This window comes from Homo sapiens, chromosome 4, assembly GCF_000001405.40.
Source record: "Homo sapiens chromosome 4, GRCh38.p14 Primary Assembly".
NCBI classification, from domain to species: domain Eukaryota; kingdom Metazoa; phylum Chordata; class Mammalia; order Primates; family Hominidae; genus Homo; species Homo sapiens.
The window spans coordinates 61934029-61952955 of NC_000004.12; the positions used below are offsets into that span (position 1 = coordinate 61934029).

Genomic DNA, 18927 nt, shown 5'->3' on the forward strand with positions numbered 1-18927 from the left:
TTTCTTTTTAACCTACAGCATAAAGCAAACCACAGGAAATATATAAATTGTAACTACAGAGATGATTCTTTTGGATGAAGCAATGAGAATTGTAGTGCTTTGTATCTATGTGTGGGTGTACCTACTGCTGATTTTTTAAAAGATAAAACACCTGAGGACCATAGGTAGTAAGGTTCAACTGTTTATTCCCCTCCCTAGTAGTAAACAGCATGAAGGAGGTTTCTCTTTATACATAACATATCCAAAGCCCCTGGGAGTATGTATGCTTTGATATTTTCCCCATTCTGACATTTTACTAGCTGGCTAAAAACAAATAGGTTTGCTATGTGAGTCATCAACCTATAAGCAACAAATTCTTGGATTGTCACATTTATGGTCATCCTTTTAATCTCTGTTGTGTTCAGCATCCAGTTTTATGGTAACCTACAGAAAAAAATTATTTTCTCTGAGTCATGTGGTAAAACTCTTGGTTGAATTTTTTTTTCAACAGTTCCCCAGCCAAATAATTTAATTATGTGATCATAGTCTTGTTGAAGCTTGTGCTATTGATTCTAAGAAGCAAGCATGCCTTTATTTGTTGTCCTTCAAAACAAAAACAGGTTTTCCTCTTGCGTTGCAAAGTCTCAGCTAGGGTTTTACAGAACAAAATAATGAATGCTTCTGCTGCAGCATGTCACAGGGGAGGCTGGGACAATACTGAACTCATGCACACACTGCTGATCCTTGCTTGCTGGGCAACATGTACACCTGGATTTCTGACAGCTATGTGGGTTCACTAGAGACCTCTGTCATTCTTTTCATCCTCTTGTAGGCAATGGTCGAGACAGTTAACAACCTCCTTCAGCCACAAGCTTTGAATGCATGGAGAGACCTGACTACGAGTGATCAGCTGCGTGCGGCCACCATGTTGCTTCATACTGTGGAGGAAAGTGCTTTTGTGCTGGCTGATAACCTTTTGAAGACTGACATTGTCAGGGAGAATACAGACAATATTAGTAAGTGGCCTTTGTTATTCAGAAGGTCCAGACACTCTTGTATATCAGAAGAGGGAAAAGAAAAAAGTATCTCTGGTGTCCTAGATATGAGTGATGCTTTATTTCAATGGAGAAAAGTCATTCTTTTTCTAAAATAAAGAGGGCATCACTTGTCATTGGCTTAAAAGGATACAAGATCATGTGTGCTATCTTTCTTAGGACATTTCAATATTAGGTTCAAAATTGAAAACATAGTAGCCTGAGATCACTTACAGTGAGGTTCGTTTTTTTAAAGGACTTTTATGTATGTATTACACTATTTAAAATTTCATCCTCTTAATACAGGACTGTTAGGAGTTATTTCAGTTATAATGAGAGTATCTTTGAATTCACATTATAAAGAAATAAGTCATTTGAGTGAAAATGATAAAACAGTGTTTGATAATCTTGTTATTTGGCTTATAAAGGATATCAGTCTATTTTTATTGTGGATTAGGAGTAGCTGACAGTTTTATTTCAGAAGTTAGGAAAAAGCTGTTTGAAATTTACTGGGCTTAAAGATAGTTTAATATTGATATGATAGTACAGCTCTAGATTATCAAAGGATTTTTATTTAATTTATAAAATAAAGATTATATTTTGAAACTTAAGACCAATGACAATGTATTAGAATTTGGGATTGAATTTAAATTTTAGGCTTTATTATTGACATGTTTGTATTATTTACATAATTTTAGTAACTTTTTTGCATTATTTTGATAAAATACTAACAATATATTTTCTTAAAGATTTTCATAAAGCATGACAAATAGAATAAGAATTCCAGTATTTTGATTTCAGAAATACTGCAATGGTTTAGGAAATTATTGTAGCTTAGGTATGTTTCTCAATGAGCACTGATATCTCTTTGATATTAACAGAATTGGAAGTTGCAAGACTGAGCACAGAAGGAAACTTAGAAGACCTAAAATTTCCAGAAAACATGGGCCATGGAAGCACTATCCAGCTGTCTGCAAATACCTTAAAGCAAAATGGCCGAAATGGTAGGTTAGAGTTTATTTTTTAAGCTTGAGGGAATTGAACTTGCATCAGTTCATTTCTTTTTGGCCGGGAATATTAGGTCCACTATTTAGGAGCTTTTCCCCTCTTCCTCTTCCTACACTATTCTCTTTCTCCTCCTCTTCCTCCTCTTTCTACTGTACAGCACCATCAATATTACAGTGATATTTGTTGTACAAAATTCTCAGATTTGGAAATTGTTCCATTACTTTTCAGTTGTAAGAAACTTAAATATGAAGGAAATTATGGACAAGAAAATACAGAGGATCTGACATCTTTCCTCAAAAAGAGGAACTCTCACTGAGTTTGCAGATTTCACTTGTAAAATTTTTAATGTAAATTTTACTTGTAATTAAAAAAATATTTTTTGGTTATTCAGCTTCTTTTTGAGAGTGTTTTTGTGCTTTTCTTTGCAAAGCATACAAACATTTAAATGTAAGGAGATGATTTTGGGAAATTGAACTGTAAATCAGCTTAGCTTCTTACTAAATTGAATACACTGAAAATAATTAAAATTCAATAAATAATCTTATAAAGTATGTCCACATTTCACTAATATTAAAAAATGTTTAAACGTACACACATATATGTGCATGTATCTGTATGTGTGTATATATGTATGTATAGATGTGTGTGTATATATATATAAATATGTATATATTTACATCTCCTCTAAAGTAGACCCCTCTTTCCCATATTTGTACATATGTACATATGCATACACACACACACACACACACACACACACACACAGAGATATATTTCTCTTTTGCCAAGAAAGGGAGATCATTTAATCTGCCAAGTGATAGGAAGATGACCTCAGTTCCTAGCAACCAACTTAATACTAATATTTCATATTGCAGGGTGAATAGTTTTGATAAATGATATCAAGAAAAACAACTTACATTTGTTGTCATCTGAATAAAATGGTCTGTAAATGTTAGAAATATTGTAAGACTAAACTTAGAAATCATTTTTGTGTTACTCATTTGACTAAGAAAATTTTGAGACAGCAATAAGATTCAGTAGAGCAAAATTAGATTCCTGCATTAGCTTCCTAAATCGTTTCCCTGCCTCCACTCTTTTGCCCTCCAACAGTATAGCCTGTTGACAAAGGGTTCTTCTGAAGCATACATCTGACCAGTTGACCTCCAATTACACTTAGAATGAAATCTCATGACTTAACTAGGCCCGCCACATGCTACCTGGTCCACTTCCTTCCTGCCTCATTTGCCACACCTCACATTTGTCTTCAGCATGTTCTGTGTGATCCAGACAGAGTAATCTTGATTCTGGTTCTTGAACACACCAAGCATGTTCCTGCATCAGGTTTGGGGCATTTTTTTTTTTTTTGCATTTTTTTAAACCTTTCTTCTTAGAATACAATTTTTACATTTTTTTTGAATGGCAGCCTCTCTATCATTCACTTTTTAGAATAAGTCTACCTCTATAGGGAGAGTCTTCCCTATCTCCTCTAACGTAGACTCCTCTTTCCCAATCACTCTTTCCCCATTAGCCATGATTATGCCAATGTTTCTTCATAGCATTTATTCACTTACCATTATAAGAAATAACATTATTATTATTTTTTAATCTTCCTGCTTATTGCCTAGTCTCCCTCCAGGCAGTAAGTTCCATGAAAGCAGAGGCCTTGTCTAATCTTGTTCACTGATGTAACCCTAGTACTTCAGTGCCTGGTCCATCTATACATCTATATACTCACTACTTACGTATACAATAAATGTGTGAACCTTCAGACGAAAAGCTGTGTATCTGAAGACATGTAGAAATATATTAGTCAAATTAAGTTGTGTGTTCATTTGTTTTCTAAATTAACATATAGTTTTTCTGTGTGTTTTGTTTTGTTTTGTTTTAATAGAGAAGAGGGTCTTTCTATGTTTCCCAGGCTGGTCTTGAACTCCTGGCCTCAAGGGATCCTCCCAACTCAGCCTCCCATAGTGCTGGGATTGCAGGCATAAGTCATCACACCCAGCCTGTTTTTGTTTTTGTTTGTGAAAGTCACATTTAAGCATTAATTTTGGAGCAGAGAATATGAAAGAATTGCCAGTGACTAAGTGTGCTGGTAACTCACGGTGGGATGGCAAAATGACACCATCCCAGAAGTGGAAATTGGCATGAATTATCAGCCAATTATAAACCAATTAAAATTAAAGTTTTTAATGTCAACAAGAAAAATGCATGGATGTTCTTAATTTTCACCTTTCAAAAATCAGCATTTTAATATCAAATCTAGAGGGAAAGAACAAAATTAAATTATGTTATAACAGATAAGTCTTTAGTGAATTACTATGATTTGCTCAGTACTGTATTAACACTTGTAGATTAGATAAGAATGCTCTCTTCCATTATGTAGCTCTCATCATAATCTCTTTGCTGGATTACTGAAATGATAATGGATATCTCATAGAATCACTGAAAAGGCTGGAGAATCAGTCCCAGAAGATATACTAGAGCAAGGAGGCTGACAGCAGCCTTTACCACATCACAGAATCACTGCTGTGAAATGTCACTGCTGCCGCAAGTGAACTCTGTTGCAGTAACTGTGCTGCCGCTGCTGCTGCTGCTATTGCTGTACCACTTCCTGCTTCTTTGTGTCACTAGCTCCTCATCTGGTATCTGAGGCTTCTGCATCTGATTGGATGCATCTAGCGGAAGTGCCCAGAGCAACGTCTCCGCAATAAGCTAGGAAAGCAAATATATGTCCATTTTGTGTCTATAAATTCTGAAAAGTAGGGAATTTCCCAAACATGGGAGTTAGATGTTAAATAACCCTCCTCCTCAAAAAAAAAAAAAAAAAAAAAAAAATTTTTTTTTTTCCTATCTCCCCGCCTGACTCAATTTTCTTTTCTTCCACTTGATTCTAAGGTTCAGCGATAGGGACTATGACTCCCTCATCTTAGTAACCATAGTAGTTGGGGCCAGAAATAAGATATAGGGCTTGACTTTTTAAAGTAAAGGAAATAATACAATTTGAAAAAGTGTGTTAAAAGACAATTCACTTCATAGAGGATTAGATTTAAGAGACTGTCATAAAGGAAAAAATAAGGTGGAAAGACTTGGTGACTTTGTGGAAACAGTGACCTTAAAATAACATGACAGTTGAGTTTTAAGACAGGTAAAGATTGTGAATTCTTGTGTGTTTTCCTTAACATTGCAATTGAGAAATAATTTACATACACTAAAATATACATTTAGCTTGAGGAAGCATTTAGCTTGGGAATTTGACAGTTGTACATAATTTTATAATATCACAAAAAGAAGGAAAATAAATCTCTTCTGTATGCAGAAAATATTCCCGTGTCTCTTACCAGTCTTCTTATTCCTCTCCTCACCTAATAAAACTTTCTTCTTATTACTATTTCTGTAGACAAAATTTGCCAGTTTTTTTTTTTCTTTTTTTTTTTTGAGACGGAGTCTCACTCTGTCACCCAGGCTGGGATGCAGTGGCACAATCTCAGCTCACTGCAACCTCCACCTCCCGGATTCAAGTGATTCTCCTGCCTCAGCCTCCTGAGTAGCTGGGATTACAAGCATGTGCCACCACGCCTGGCTAATTTTTGTATTTTTAGTAGAGACAGGGTTTCGCCATATTGGTCAGGCTGGTCTTGAATTCCTGACTTCGTGATCTGCCCGCCTCAGCCTCCCAAAGTGCTGGGATTACAGGCATGAGCCACCACACCCGGCCAAAATTTGCCAGTTTTTAGACCTCATATAACTGGTATCATACAGTGTATACCATTTGCTGTCTCAATTCGTTAACCTGACAAAATATTTTTAAGACTCACTGATGATGTTCCACGTATCAATAGTTTGTTCTTTATTGATGCATAGTATATTCTATTTTTTTTTTTAATTTTTTTATTATACTCTAAGTTTTAGGGTACATGTGCACATTGTGCAGGTTAGTTACATATGTATACATGTGCCATGCTGGTGCGCTGCACCCACTAATGTGTCATCTAGCATTAGGTATATCTCCCAATGCTATCCCTCCCCCCTCCCCCGACCCCACCACAGTCCCCAGAGTGTGATATTCCCCTTCCTGTGTCCATGTGATCTCATTGTTCAATTCCCACCTATGAGTGAGAATATGCGGTGTTTGGTTTTTTGTTCTTGCGATAGTTTACTGAGAATGATGGTTTCCAATTTCATCCATGTCCCTACAAAGGATATGAACTCATCATTTTTTATGGCTGCATAGTATTCCATGGTGTATATGTGCCACATTTTCTTAATCCAGTCTATCATTGTTGGACATTTGGGTTGGTTCCAAGTCTTTGCTATTGTGAATAGTGCCGCAATAAACATACGTGTGCATGTGTCTTTATAGCAGCATGATTTATAGTCCTTTGGGTATATACCCAGTAATGGGATGGCTGGGTCAAATGGTATTTCTAGTTCTAGATCCCTGAGGAATCGCCACAGTGACTTCCACAATGGTTGAACTAGTTTACAGTCCCACCAACAGTGTAAAAGTGTTCCTATTTCTCCACATCCTCTCCAGCACCTGTTGTTTCCTGACTTTTTAATGATTGCCATTCTAACTGGTGTGAGATGATATCTCATAGTGGTTTTGATTTGCATTTCTCTGATGGCCAGTGATGATGAGCATTTCTTCATGTGTTTTTTGGCTGCATAAATGTCTTCTTTTGAGAAGTGTCTGTTCATGTCCTTCGCCCACTTTTTGATGGGGTTGTTTGTTTTTTCCTTGTAAATTTGTTTGAGTTCATTGTAGATTCTGGATATTAGCCCTTTGTCAGATGAGTAGGTTGCGAAAATTTTCTCCCATGTTGTAGGTTGCCTGTTCACTCTGATGGTAGTTTCTTTTGCTGTGCAGAAGCTCTTTAGTTTAATTAGATCCCATTTGTCAATTTTGGCTTTTGTTGCCATTGCTTTTGGTGTTTTGGACATGAAGTCCTTGCCCACGCCTATGTCCTGAATGGTAATGCCTAGGTTTTCTTCTAGGGTTTTTATGGTTTTAGGTCTAACGTTTAAATCTTTAATCCATCTTGAATTGATTTTTGTATAAGGTGTAAGGAAGGGATCCAGTTTCAGCTTTCTACATATGGCTAGCCAGTTTTCCCAGCACCATTTATTAAATAGGGAATCCTTTCCCCATTGCTTGTTTTTCTCAGGTTTGTGAAAGATCAGATAGTTGTAGATATGCGGTGTTATTTCTGAGGGCTGTGTTCTGTTCCATTGATCTATATCTCTGTTTTGGTACCAGTACCATGCTGTTTTGGTTACTGTAGCCTTGTAGTATAGTTTGAAGTCAGGTAGTGTGATGCCTCCAGCTTTGTTCTTTTGGCTTAGGATTGACTTGGCGATGCGGGCTCTTTTTTGGTTCCATATGAACTTTAAAGTAGTTTTTTCCAATTCTGTGAAGAAAGTCATTGGTAGCTTGATGGGGATGGCATTGAATCTGTAAATTACCTTGGGCAGTATGGCCATTTTCACGATATTGATTCTTCCTACCCATGAGCATGGAATGTTCTTCCATTTGTTTGTGTCCTCTTTTATTTCATTGAGCAGTGGTTTGTAGTTCTCCTTGAAGAGGTCCTTCACATCCCTTGTAAGTTGGATTCCTAGGTATTTTATTCTCTTTGAAGCAATTGTGAATGGGAGTTCACCCATGATTTGGCTCTCTGTTTGTCTGTTGTTGGTGTATAAGAATGCTTGTGATTTTTGTACATTGATTTTGTATCCTGAGACTTTGCTGAAGTTGCTTATCAGCTTAAGGAGATTTTGGGCTGAGACGATGGGGTTTTCTAGATAAATAATCATGTCGTCTGCAAACAGGGACAATTTGACTTCCTCTTTTCCTAATTGAATACCCTTTATTTCCTTCTCCTGCCTGATTGCCCTGGCCAGAACTTCCAACACTATGTTGAATAGGAGTGGTGAGAGAGGGCATCCCTGTCTTGTGCCAGTTTTCAAAGGGAATGCTTCCAGTTTTTGCCCATTCAGTATGATATTGGCTGTGGGTTTGTCATAGATAGCTCTTATTATTTTGAAATACGTCCCATCAATACCTAATTTATTGAGGGTTTTTAGCATGAAGGGTTGTTGAATTTTGTCAAAGGCTTTTTCTGCATCTATTGAGATAATCATGTGGTTTTTGTCTTTGGCTCTGTTTATATGCTGGATTACATTTATTGATTTGCGTATATTGAACCAGCCTTGCATCCCAGGGATGAAGCCCACTTGATCATGGTGGATAAGCTTTTTGATGTGCTGCTGGATTCGGTTTGCCAGTATTTTATTGAGGATTTTTGCATCAATGTTCATCAAGGATATTGGTCTAAAATTCTCTTTTTTGGTTGTGTCTCTGCCCGGCTTTGGTATCAGAATGATGCTGGCCTCATAAAATGAGTTAGGGAGGATTCCCTCTTTTTCTATTGATTGGAATAGTTTCAGAAGGAATGGTACCAGTTCCTCCTTGTACCTCTGGTAGAATTCGGCTGTGAATCCATCTGGTCCTGGACTCTTTTTGGTTGGTAAACTATTGATTATTGCCACAATTTCAGAGCCTATTATTGGTCTATTCAGAGATTCAACTTCTTCCTGGTTTAGTCTTGGGAGAGTGTATGTGTCGAGGAATGTATCCATTTCTTCTAGATTTTCTAGTTTATTTGCGTAGAGGTGTTTGTAGTATTCTCTGATGGTAGTTTGTATTTCTGTGGGATCGGTGGTGATATCCCCTTTATCATTTTTTATTGTGTCTATTTGATTCTTCTCTCTTTTTTTCTTTATTAGTCTTGCTAGCGGTCTATCAATTTTGTTGATCCTTTCAAAAAACCAGCTCCTGGATTCATTGATTTTTTGAAGGGTTTTTTGTGTCTCTATTTCCTTCAGTTCTGCTCTGATTTTAGTTATTTCTTGCCTTCTGCCAGCTTTTGAATGTGTTTGCTCTTGCTTTTCTAGTTCTTTTAATTGTGATGTTAGGGTGTCAATTTTGGATCCTTCCTGCTTTCTCTTGTAGGCATTTAGTGCTATAAATTTCCCTCTACACACTGCTTTGAATGCGTCCCAGAGATTCTGGTATGTGGTGTCTTTGTTCTCGTTGGTTTCAAAGAACATCTTTATTTCTGCCTTCATTTCGTTATGTACCCAGTAGTCATTCAGGAGCAGGTTGTTCAGTTTCCATGTAGTTGAGCGGCTTTGAGTGAGATTCTTAATCCTGAGTTCTAGTTTGATTGCACTGTGGTCTGAGAGATAGTTTGTTATAATTTCTGTTCTTTTACATTTGCTGAGGAGAGCTTTACTTCCAACTATGTGGTCAATTTTGGAATAGGTGTGGTGTGGTGCTGAAAAAAAATGTATATTCTGTTGATTTGGGGTGGAGAGTTCTGTAGATGTCTATTAGGTCTGCTTGGTGCAGAGCTGAGTTCAATTCCTGGGTATCCTTGTTGACTTTCTGTCTCGTTGATCTGTCTAATGTTGACAGTGGGGTGTTAAAGTCTCCCATTATTAATGTGTGGGAGTCTAAGTCTCTTTGTAGGTCACTGAGGACTTGCTTTATGAATCTGGGTGCTCCTGTATTGGGTGCATAAATATTTAGGATAGTTAGCTCCTCTTGTTGAATTGATCCCTTTACCATTATGTAATGGCCTTCTTTGTCTCTTTTGATCTTTGTTGGTTTAAAGTCTGTTTTATCAGAGACTAGGATTGCAACCTCTGCCTTTTTTTGTTTTCCATTGGCTTGGTAGATCTTCCTCCATCCTTTTATTTTGAGCCTATGTGTGTCTCTGCATGTGAGATGGGTTTCCTGAATACAGCACACTGATGGGTCTTGACTCTTTATCCAACTTGCCAGTCTGTGTCTTTTAATTGCAGAATTTAGTCCATTTATATTTAAAGTTAATATTGTTATGTGTGAATTTGATCCTGTCATTATGATGTTAGCTGGTGATTTTGCTCATTAGTTGATGCAGTTTCTTCCTAGTCTCGATGGTCTTTACATTTTGGCATGATTTTGCAGCGGCTGGTACCGGTTGTTCCTTTCCATGTTTAGCGCTTCCTTCAGGAGCTCTTTTAGGGCAGGCCTGGTGGTGACAAAATCTCTCAGCATTTGCTTGTCTATAAAGTATTTTATTTCTCCTTCACTTATGAAGCTTAGTTTGGCTGGATATGAAATTCTGGGTTGAAAATTCTTTTCTTTAAGAATGTTGAATATTGGCCCCCACTCTCTTCTGGCTTGTAGGGTTTCTGCCGAGAGATCCGCTGTTAGTCTGATGGGCTTTCCTTTGAGGGTAACCCGACCTTTCTCTCTGGCTGCCCTTAACATTTTTTCCTTCATTTCAACTTTGGTGAATCTGACAATTATGTGTCTTGGAGTTGCTCTTCTCGAGGAGTATCTTTGTGGCGTTCTCTGTATTTCCTGAATCTGAACGTTGGCCTGCCTTGCTAGATTGGGGAAGTTCTCCTGGATAATATCCTGCAGAGTGTTTTCCAACTTGGTTCCATTCTCCACATCACTTTCAGGTACACCAATCAGACGTAGATTTGGTCTTTTCACATAGTCCCATATTTCTTGGAGGCTTTGCTCATTTCTTTTTATTCTTTTTTCTCTAAACTTCCCTTCTCGCTTCATTTCATTCATTTCATCTTCCATTGCTGATACCCTTTCTTCCAGTTGATCGCATCGGCTCCTGAGGCTTCTGCATTCTTCACGTAGTTCTCGAGCCTTGGTTTTCAGCTCCATCAGCTCCTTTAAGCACTTCTCTGTATTGGTTATTCTAGTTATACATTCTTCTAAATTTTTTTCAAAGTTTTCAACTTCTTTGCCTTTGGTTTGAATGTCCTCCTGTAGCTCAGAGTAATTTGATCGTCTGAAGCCTTCTTCTCTCAGCTCGTCAAAATCATTCTCCATCCAGCTTTGTTCTGTTGCTGTTGAGGAACTGTGTTCCTTTGGAGGAGGAGAGGCGCTCTGCGTTTTAGAGTTTCCAGTTTTTCTGTTCTGTTTTTTCCCCATCTTTGTGGTTTTATCTACTTTTGGTCTTTGATGATGGTGATGTACAGATGGGTTTTCGGTGTAGATGTCCTTTCTGGTTGTTAGTTTTCCTTCTAACAGACAGGACCCTCAGCTGCAGGTCTGTTGGAATACCCTGCCGTGTGAGGTGTCAGTGTGCCCCTGCTGGGGGGTGCCTCCCAGTTAGGCTGCTCGGGGGTCAGGGGTCAGGGACCCACTTGAGGAGGCAGTCTGCCCGTTCTCAGATCTCCAGCTGCGTGCTGGGAGAACCACTGCTCTCTTCAAAGCTGTCAGACAGGGACACTTAAGTCTGCAGAGGTTACTGCTGTCTTTTTGTTTGTCTGTGCCCTGCCCCCAGAGGTGGAGCCTACAGAGGCAGGCAGGCCTCCTTGAGCTGTGGTGGGCTCCACCCAGTTCGAGCTTCCAGGCTGCTTTGTTTACCTAAGCAAGCCTGGGCAATGGCGGGCGCCCCTCCCCCAGCCTCGTTGCCACCTTGCAGTTTGATCTCAGACTGCTGTGCTAGCAATCAGCGAGATTCCGTGGGCGTAGGACCCTCTGAGCCAGGTGTGGGATATAGTCTCGTGGTGCGCCGTTTCTTAAGCCGGTCTGAAAAGCGCAATATTCGGGTGGGAGTGACCCGATTTTCCAGGTGCGTCCGTCACCCCTTTCTTTGACTCTGAAAGGGAACTCCCTGACCCCTTGCGCTTCCCAGGTGAGGCAATGCCTCGCCCTGCTTCGGCTCGCGCACGGTGCGCACACACACTGGCCTGCGCCCACTGTCTGGCACTCCTTAGTGAGATGAACCCGGTACCTCAGATGGAAATGCAGAAATCACCCGTCTTCTGCGTCGCTCACGCTGGGAGCTGTAGACTGGAGCTGTTCCTATTCGGCCATCTTGGCTCCTCCTCCTAGTATATTCTATTATATAATGTGCCATAATTTATTTATTCTCCTATAAATAATAATTGACTTGTTTCCAGTTTGGGCTATTAAGAATAAGGATATATATCCCCATATATTGTGGTGGATATATGTTTTCGGTTACCTGGGAAAGGTAGATGTATGTTTAATTTTATAAGAAATTGTCAAATATTTTTCCAAACAGTTGAACTATTTTACACTACCACCAGAAGCGTACGAGAGTTCCATTTCTTCCACATCCTTATCAACATTAGTGTGGTCGGTCTTTTCAATTTTAGAGATTCTTGTGGGTATGAAATTGAAACTCAGTGTAGTCTTATTTTTCATTCTCTAATTACTAATGATACTGATCATTTTTCATGTGTCTATTGGCCTTTCCTTTATTTATTTTTCTAAAGTGTGTATTTACATCTTTTGCCATTTTAAGATGCCATTATTTTATTTTTTGTTGGTAAAAATGTTTTGTATAATAATGAATCTTATTTTTAAATGTATTTCAGTTTCCTTGTTTGTTTTCTTAATGATATATTTTGATAGATTGTTGGTTTTGATAAAGTTTAGTATATCATTTTATGATAAATGTTTTGGAGTCTTATTGAAGACATCTTTGCCTTCTTCAAAGTACAAGGATATTATTCTATATTTTGTTCTAGAAGCCTTATGATTCTGGTTTTTATGTTTAGGTGTATGATCTATCTTAAACTTAGTTTTGAGTATGGAGTGAGATAGGGATTGAGGCTCATTTTAAAAAATATTGGTATGTAGTTGTTTTAGCATAATTTGAATTTCCTCTCCTCATAAATGACTTGGTACTTTGGTTGAAATGAATGCTGGATTTTTTGTGTGAATACATACTACATGGATTTAATTTTCTATCTCATTAGTACTAACTAATTTAAGTAGAGTGGACAAACTAATCAGAGTTTGCATTTACTTTAGGAGAGATCAGAGTGGCCTTTGTCCTGTATAACAACTTGGGTCCTTATTTATCCACGGAGAATGCCAGTATGAAGTTGGGAACGGAAGCTTTGTCCACAAATCATTCTGTTATTGTCAATTCCCCTGTTATTACGGCAGCAATAAACAAAGAGTTCAGTAACAAGGTTTATTTGGCTGATCCTGTGGTATTTACTGTTAAACATATCAAGGTAAGAAAATGGCATATTAGCTTGGTTGTTCATATTATCTGTATTTTTATAACACTGAACATTAAGTGTATTAATTTTCTTTTAATGTTTTTTCTATTTGACATATAACAGTTCATTATCTGTACAATGTAGTGGTAATTTTTTTGTCAGAAATAAGATTTGGAGGAGGAGAATAATCCTTATATATGTAAATACTTATGGTGAAAGCATTCATAGATGGATTTATAATTGCTTCTCCATAACTAAAAAGAGCTAGCTCAAGTGTAGAGAACTAAATTACAGCCTGAAAACCACAGATAATATTACAAAATTCTGCTGTATTTGGGATTCATGTGAAATGAATAGATTTTTAGCTGCTCTTGCTGCAAAAACAAGAAAACAATGGGTAACTATGTGAGACGATGGATATATTAACTCACTTCACTTTGGTAACCTTTCTACTGTCTACATGTATTTCATAACATTATGTTGCATACCTTAAATATTCACAATACTATCTGTGTTTTTAAAGAAGAATAGGAGTACATTAAACAGAACTAGAGATGGTTCTATATTTGATATTTCAAGCAATTATGTCCACGTGAAGATATATTTTTGCATATATACAAAGATTGAGGTTGTAAATTCAACAAAGATTTCTAAAGATCATCCTTTCAGATGTTGGTTGTTAAGAGCAATTAACCTCTTTATTTTGCAATGTGTATTAGAATTAGTGTGATTTTGAAACATTGGTACTAGTATATTATTTTAGTGTTAATTTAAAAAAATAGTGCACTCTTCTCTAGTCAAAGGGAACAAACAATAGCATATATTCAATTTCACTTAGAATTGTTGAGGCCCACTTATGAAACCATTGGTAGACATCTCTAAAAAATTGGAACAGAATATGAAGTTGTATTATATGTAAAGAAAATGCCAACCTAATTTACATGATCATAAAGTAGTTGTTGATTTTATGGATTTTTTTTCCCCTGTAGCAGTCAGAGGAAAATTTCAACCCTAACTGTTCATTTTGGAGCTACTCCAAGCGTACAATGACAGGTTATTGGTCAACACAAGGCTGTCGGCTCCTGACAACAAATAAGACACATACTACATGCTCTTGTAACCACCTAACAAATTTTGCAGTACTGATGGCACATGTGGAAGTTAAGGTAAGATATATACCATACAATGAAAATGTTTTAGTATATTATATGGTCACTAACTGTAAATAGTCCTAACTATATGGGCTATCATATTTCAATGTTTTCCTACTTTCATAGTAATTCTATTAAGGAACTCTCTGATGTTCAAACCATATCCTTGTGGATGATTCAAAGAACTTGTTATCTCTTTTCCTATTATCAAAATAGTTCATAAAATTGAAGTTTGCTTAATAAACTTCCCCTAGTCTCCCTGTTATTTTGTATAATAAATGTCAGACCATAACCTCATGAACAGGGTAAGATAGGACTCCAGGACCAAAGGCCAGTGGGGTTGGTTTAGAAAGCTGGGACTGGGGAGGCGGAAGAATAAAGAGCTATGCATAGGTTAAATACAGTCAAACTGACTCTTGGGAAAGCAACCCTCAAGCACGATACCCAGAGCATGGTAGTGCAAAGGACTTGGCATACCCTAACATAAGGAAATGGGTTCTGCCCATGCAAGAAGACACTACTCTAAGGAAAAATCCAGATGATAGGTAGTTTCCAAAGTCAGAAACATGGCTACATCAATTTCCTCCCAGTGTGACTAGCTTTCATATGTATTGAGGGTTGTGAGATGGAGTCTATGAGTTTGCAAGGGAAGAGAAGGCTGGCAGGGTTTCAGGAGATCAACTCAAGCAGGCTAACAGTGAAGGCTAGAAATGCAGTAACTATCAGATTTTAGGAGGCCTAGGTCAGGAAACTCAGAAAAAAAAAAAAAACACTAAGCAGGTCAGTGCATCAGTAGTAGGTAAGATTATTGCTAACACTGAGTAATACTAATACTCAACCTGTAGAAATGTATGGGGTTGAAAACTTCAGTTTTTATTTCAAGCAAGATACTTCATGGCCAGAGATGTTTGAGAATGCAAATATCTTGCTTTCCTCATCTCAATGGTTAAGAACTGAGGCTGACTCAGATCCCGTGTTGGGTTCAACCAATTGTTATATTTGGAAGAAGGCTATTAATAAATTATATACATTATGTGGCATTAAAAATTTAATTTTTGAACTTTCAAACAAGATGCTCAACAAAAATAATACTTTTTTTCTGAATATTGTATGTCATAAACTAAATGGATAATTGCATTTAAAATCTTAAAATAGGCCGGGCATGGTGGCTCATGCCTGTAATCCCAGCACTTTGGGAGGCCAAGACGGGAGGATCATTCAGGGTCAGGAGTTAGAGACCAGACTGACTGACATGGCAAAACCCCTCTCTACTAAAAATACAAAAATTAGCTGAGCGTTGGTGCATGCTTGTAATCCCAGCTACTCGGGAGGCTGAGGCAGGAGGATCACTTGAACCAGGGAGGCAGAGGTTGCAGTGAGCCGAGATCGCACCAGTGCACTCCAGCATGGGAGACAGAGCAAGACTCTGTCTCAAATAAAAAAAAAAATCTTAAAATATAACTTCATAGTTTTTTAAAATGTCTTTATAAGTTAAATTCAATTTCATATGCATTAGTCTTTAAGATTATTAATCTTGTATAATATATACAAAATTATTTGTCATTAGAACTAGCATTGGTATTTTGCTTTGGTAGGGAAAAGCACTCATAGCTTCAACACTTTATGCGAAAGTTAAAGCTTAGTTTTCACAGCATTTTATATTATAATATCTCTGCTATAATTATCTGGTACATATTTCATTGTGGAAAGAAAATGACTACTTAAAACCCTGGAATGGCTTTTGCAAAGATCGAACATTCTTTCATACAATTCATTAAAATTTTTCACTATTTAACTAACACTACTTAGCTTTCAAATTTAGTAACTGGTAAATAGTATTTTCAAAACAATTGTCTTTATAAGTTCAATAAAATGTGAAATAACATGTATTTTTAACCATACTGTTCAGTTCAGCACATATGTGTTAGTAGTGTAATAATAATAAATAAGATATGAACACTGCCTTCAAAGGTTTACAGGTTTTTTTTTAGATGAGACAGAAAAAAACAGCTATATAGTTAATAAGGTAGTGATAAGAATGAAGTTTGAACAGTGTACTGTGGGAAAATTGAATAAGTATAATAAAAGTCTGGAGAAGTTCTTAGAGATTTAAAAGCTGTATATTAAGAGATTAATGTATTAGCCAGAAAAGTTGTGAAGAACATTTCAATCAGAGAAAACAGCAGGAGCGAAAACATAAAGATATTATATATCATGGTGTGTAGAGCATGGTAAAAGAGTTTAGAATTAATACACAATAAGTATAACAAGGCTAGTGTTTAAGTCAAAGTAAAAACAGAAACAAATATCTAAATTTAAGATTTGATTGGGGAAACAAGAATTGCAGTTCAGGGTATACACACAGACTGGGTGGTCTTCCTTATGCCTGAAGAACAAAAAGAGGGTTGGAGATTTCATAAAAAGAAGAAGTGTTACATATTGTCTTCCCAGAAAGTTCATTGGCACTAGTAAAGTGTGGAGAGCTGGCAAGCTCTGATTGGTGAGTGACAGGCGATGCGTCTTGGAGTCAAAGGAGGTTGTTTCAGTAGCTATTGGATAAAACTGGTTTCAGATTACAACAGGCAGTTTCAGCATGGGGGCTTACAGTGAATTCCATTCTTGGAGCCATGTTTTGTGCCCTGAATGCTTTCTTTCCTGTCTTTTGCCTCTGTTTTAGTTGGTATAACAAGAATAACCCAATTCATTTGACCAGCTTTCACTGTAGTTAGAAATTGGAGGTGAACTGAAGAACTTATTAGAACTGTGGCCATGAAGGGCATAATATAAAATTTTATTTTTTATTTTTACTTATTTATTTATTTCCATCTCTTGTGCTTGAATCAGGACAATGTGGAAATTTAGATGGGCTTAACATCTGCAGGCTCAGAGTACGAGTCTCAATATCCTACATGTCTAAATATTTACAAGTAATACTTAAAGCTGAGAAAAATGAAATATAACCTGACTTAACAAAATATAGCTTTATAATCACCAAAGACACACAATCTGAACTTAGGATTCTCAGAATCCCCAGAGTTCTGCACCTGTACATGGCAGTGTCAGGGGAGCCGACTCCTGGCTCACAGTCAGTGGTTTACCCAACCCCTTCAAAAGTAGGAGGCTCAGGGTTGGGGGCTCTCTTTCCAGGGTCTCAGGGTATACCTGTAATATGGATCTTTGCTGTGATTCCATGGGCAACTAAGAAACGATTGCTAGATCTCTAAACAATAATAGCACCAGTTTATGTTGCAATGTTAGACAGATTATTCCCAATTCTATGTGGATGATAGATGTCAATTAGATTTCAACTTTAGATTAGACTGGCTGGGCGTAGTGGCTCATGCAAGTAATCCCAGTACTTCGGGAGGCTGAGGTGGGTGGATCACTTGAGGTCAGGAGTTTGAGACCAGCCTCGGCAACATGGCAGAACTCCCTCTCCACTAAAATACAAAAATTAGCTGGGCGTGATGGTGCATGCCTGTAGTCCCAGCTACTCAGGAGGCTGTGGTGGGAGGATCACTTGAGCCCAGGAAGCAGAGGTTGCAGTGAGCTGAGATCAACCACTGCAACTCCAGTTTGAGCGACCAAGCAAGACTGTGTCACAAACAAACAAAACAAACAAAATGATTAGACTGGTTGTAGTGTGACAGTTATTTCAATAAGTCCTGGTAAAGGGTGTCTAGGGCGTAGACAAGGGCTGTTGTGGTAGTCATGAAGAGGATTTATATTTCAGATATACTAGGATACAAAGATATAAATGGCTTATTACCTTGGTTATAGAGGTCGATAGAAAGGCTATCTGCATGTACATTCTCTTCTCCCTGCAGTCAGTAAAAATAGGGAAAGTATTAATCTCCTTTACATTTTACAAAGTAAAAATGATGGCAAAATTTTTAGCTACCTTATGTTATTGATCCAAATAATTTCATCCAGACCAGGCGTGGTGGCTTACAGCCTGTAATCTCAGCACTTTGGGAGGCTGAGGCGGGCAGATCACTTGAGCTTAGGAGTTCAAGACCAGCCTGGGCAACATAGTGAAACCTCATCTCTATTTAAAAAACACCAAAATTAGCCAGGTGTGGTGGCATACCCTTGTAGTCCCAGCTACTTGGGAGGTTGAGGTGGGAGGATTGCTTGAGCCTGGGAGGTTGAGGCTGCAGTGAGCTGTGATTGTGCCACTGCACTATAGTCTGGGCAACAGAGTGAGACCCTGTCTCAAAAAAAAAAAAAAAACAATTTCATCCAAAATTTTATTTGACTCAAATTTAGAGAGAGATGGTGCAGGTATACCAGAGGGAGAACAAATTCATGCTCAATTAGCAGCTTAAAAATAAAATTACCTTACCTGTGTCAGCACAGTTTAAATTTTGATGTTCGAAGGACTACAAACTCTATTTTGTCAGAGCATCACAAATTGATCCATCTTAGCAAGATTGGCTATATATTAACAAGTAATAGATTTAAATCTGGATTGTATTACTCTGGCTCTGAGATTCTACATTCTAGCCTAGGTAATAAACTCAGACTCAGAAAAACGAATCAAATTTGAGGCAGCAACAAAATATCATTTTATGCTCAGTTCATTGCCTAACAACCTTTCCGCAATCCATTGTATAACAGTCATGACTGTGACCACTATTGTGTGTCAACAAGAGATAAAATAAATGGAAATCAATATTTTCCTTTAGCAGTCA

General features: G+C 37.6%; 1 protein-coding gene across 59 annotated transcripts in view; it reads left to right on the plus strand.

Moving 5' to 3' along the window:
* ADGRL3 (adhesion G protein-coupled receptor L3) overlaps positions 1-18927 on the plus strand; it is an 878010-nt gene that overhangs the window by 733703 nt on the left and 125380 nt on the right. For all 59 annotated transcript variants that reach the window (NM_001387552.1, NM_001322402.3, NM_001387522.1 and 56 more), the window contains 4 exons: positions 812-995; positions 1895-2017; positions 12886-13094; positions 14072-14248. In NM_001387552.1, coding sequence (NP_001374481.1) covers positions 812-995; positions 1895-2017; positions 12886-13094; positions 14072-14248 — 693 coding nt within the window. The remainder of the gene's footprint in view (positions 1-811; positions 996-1894; positions 2018-12885; positions 13095-14071; positions 14249-18927) is intronic.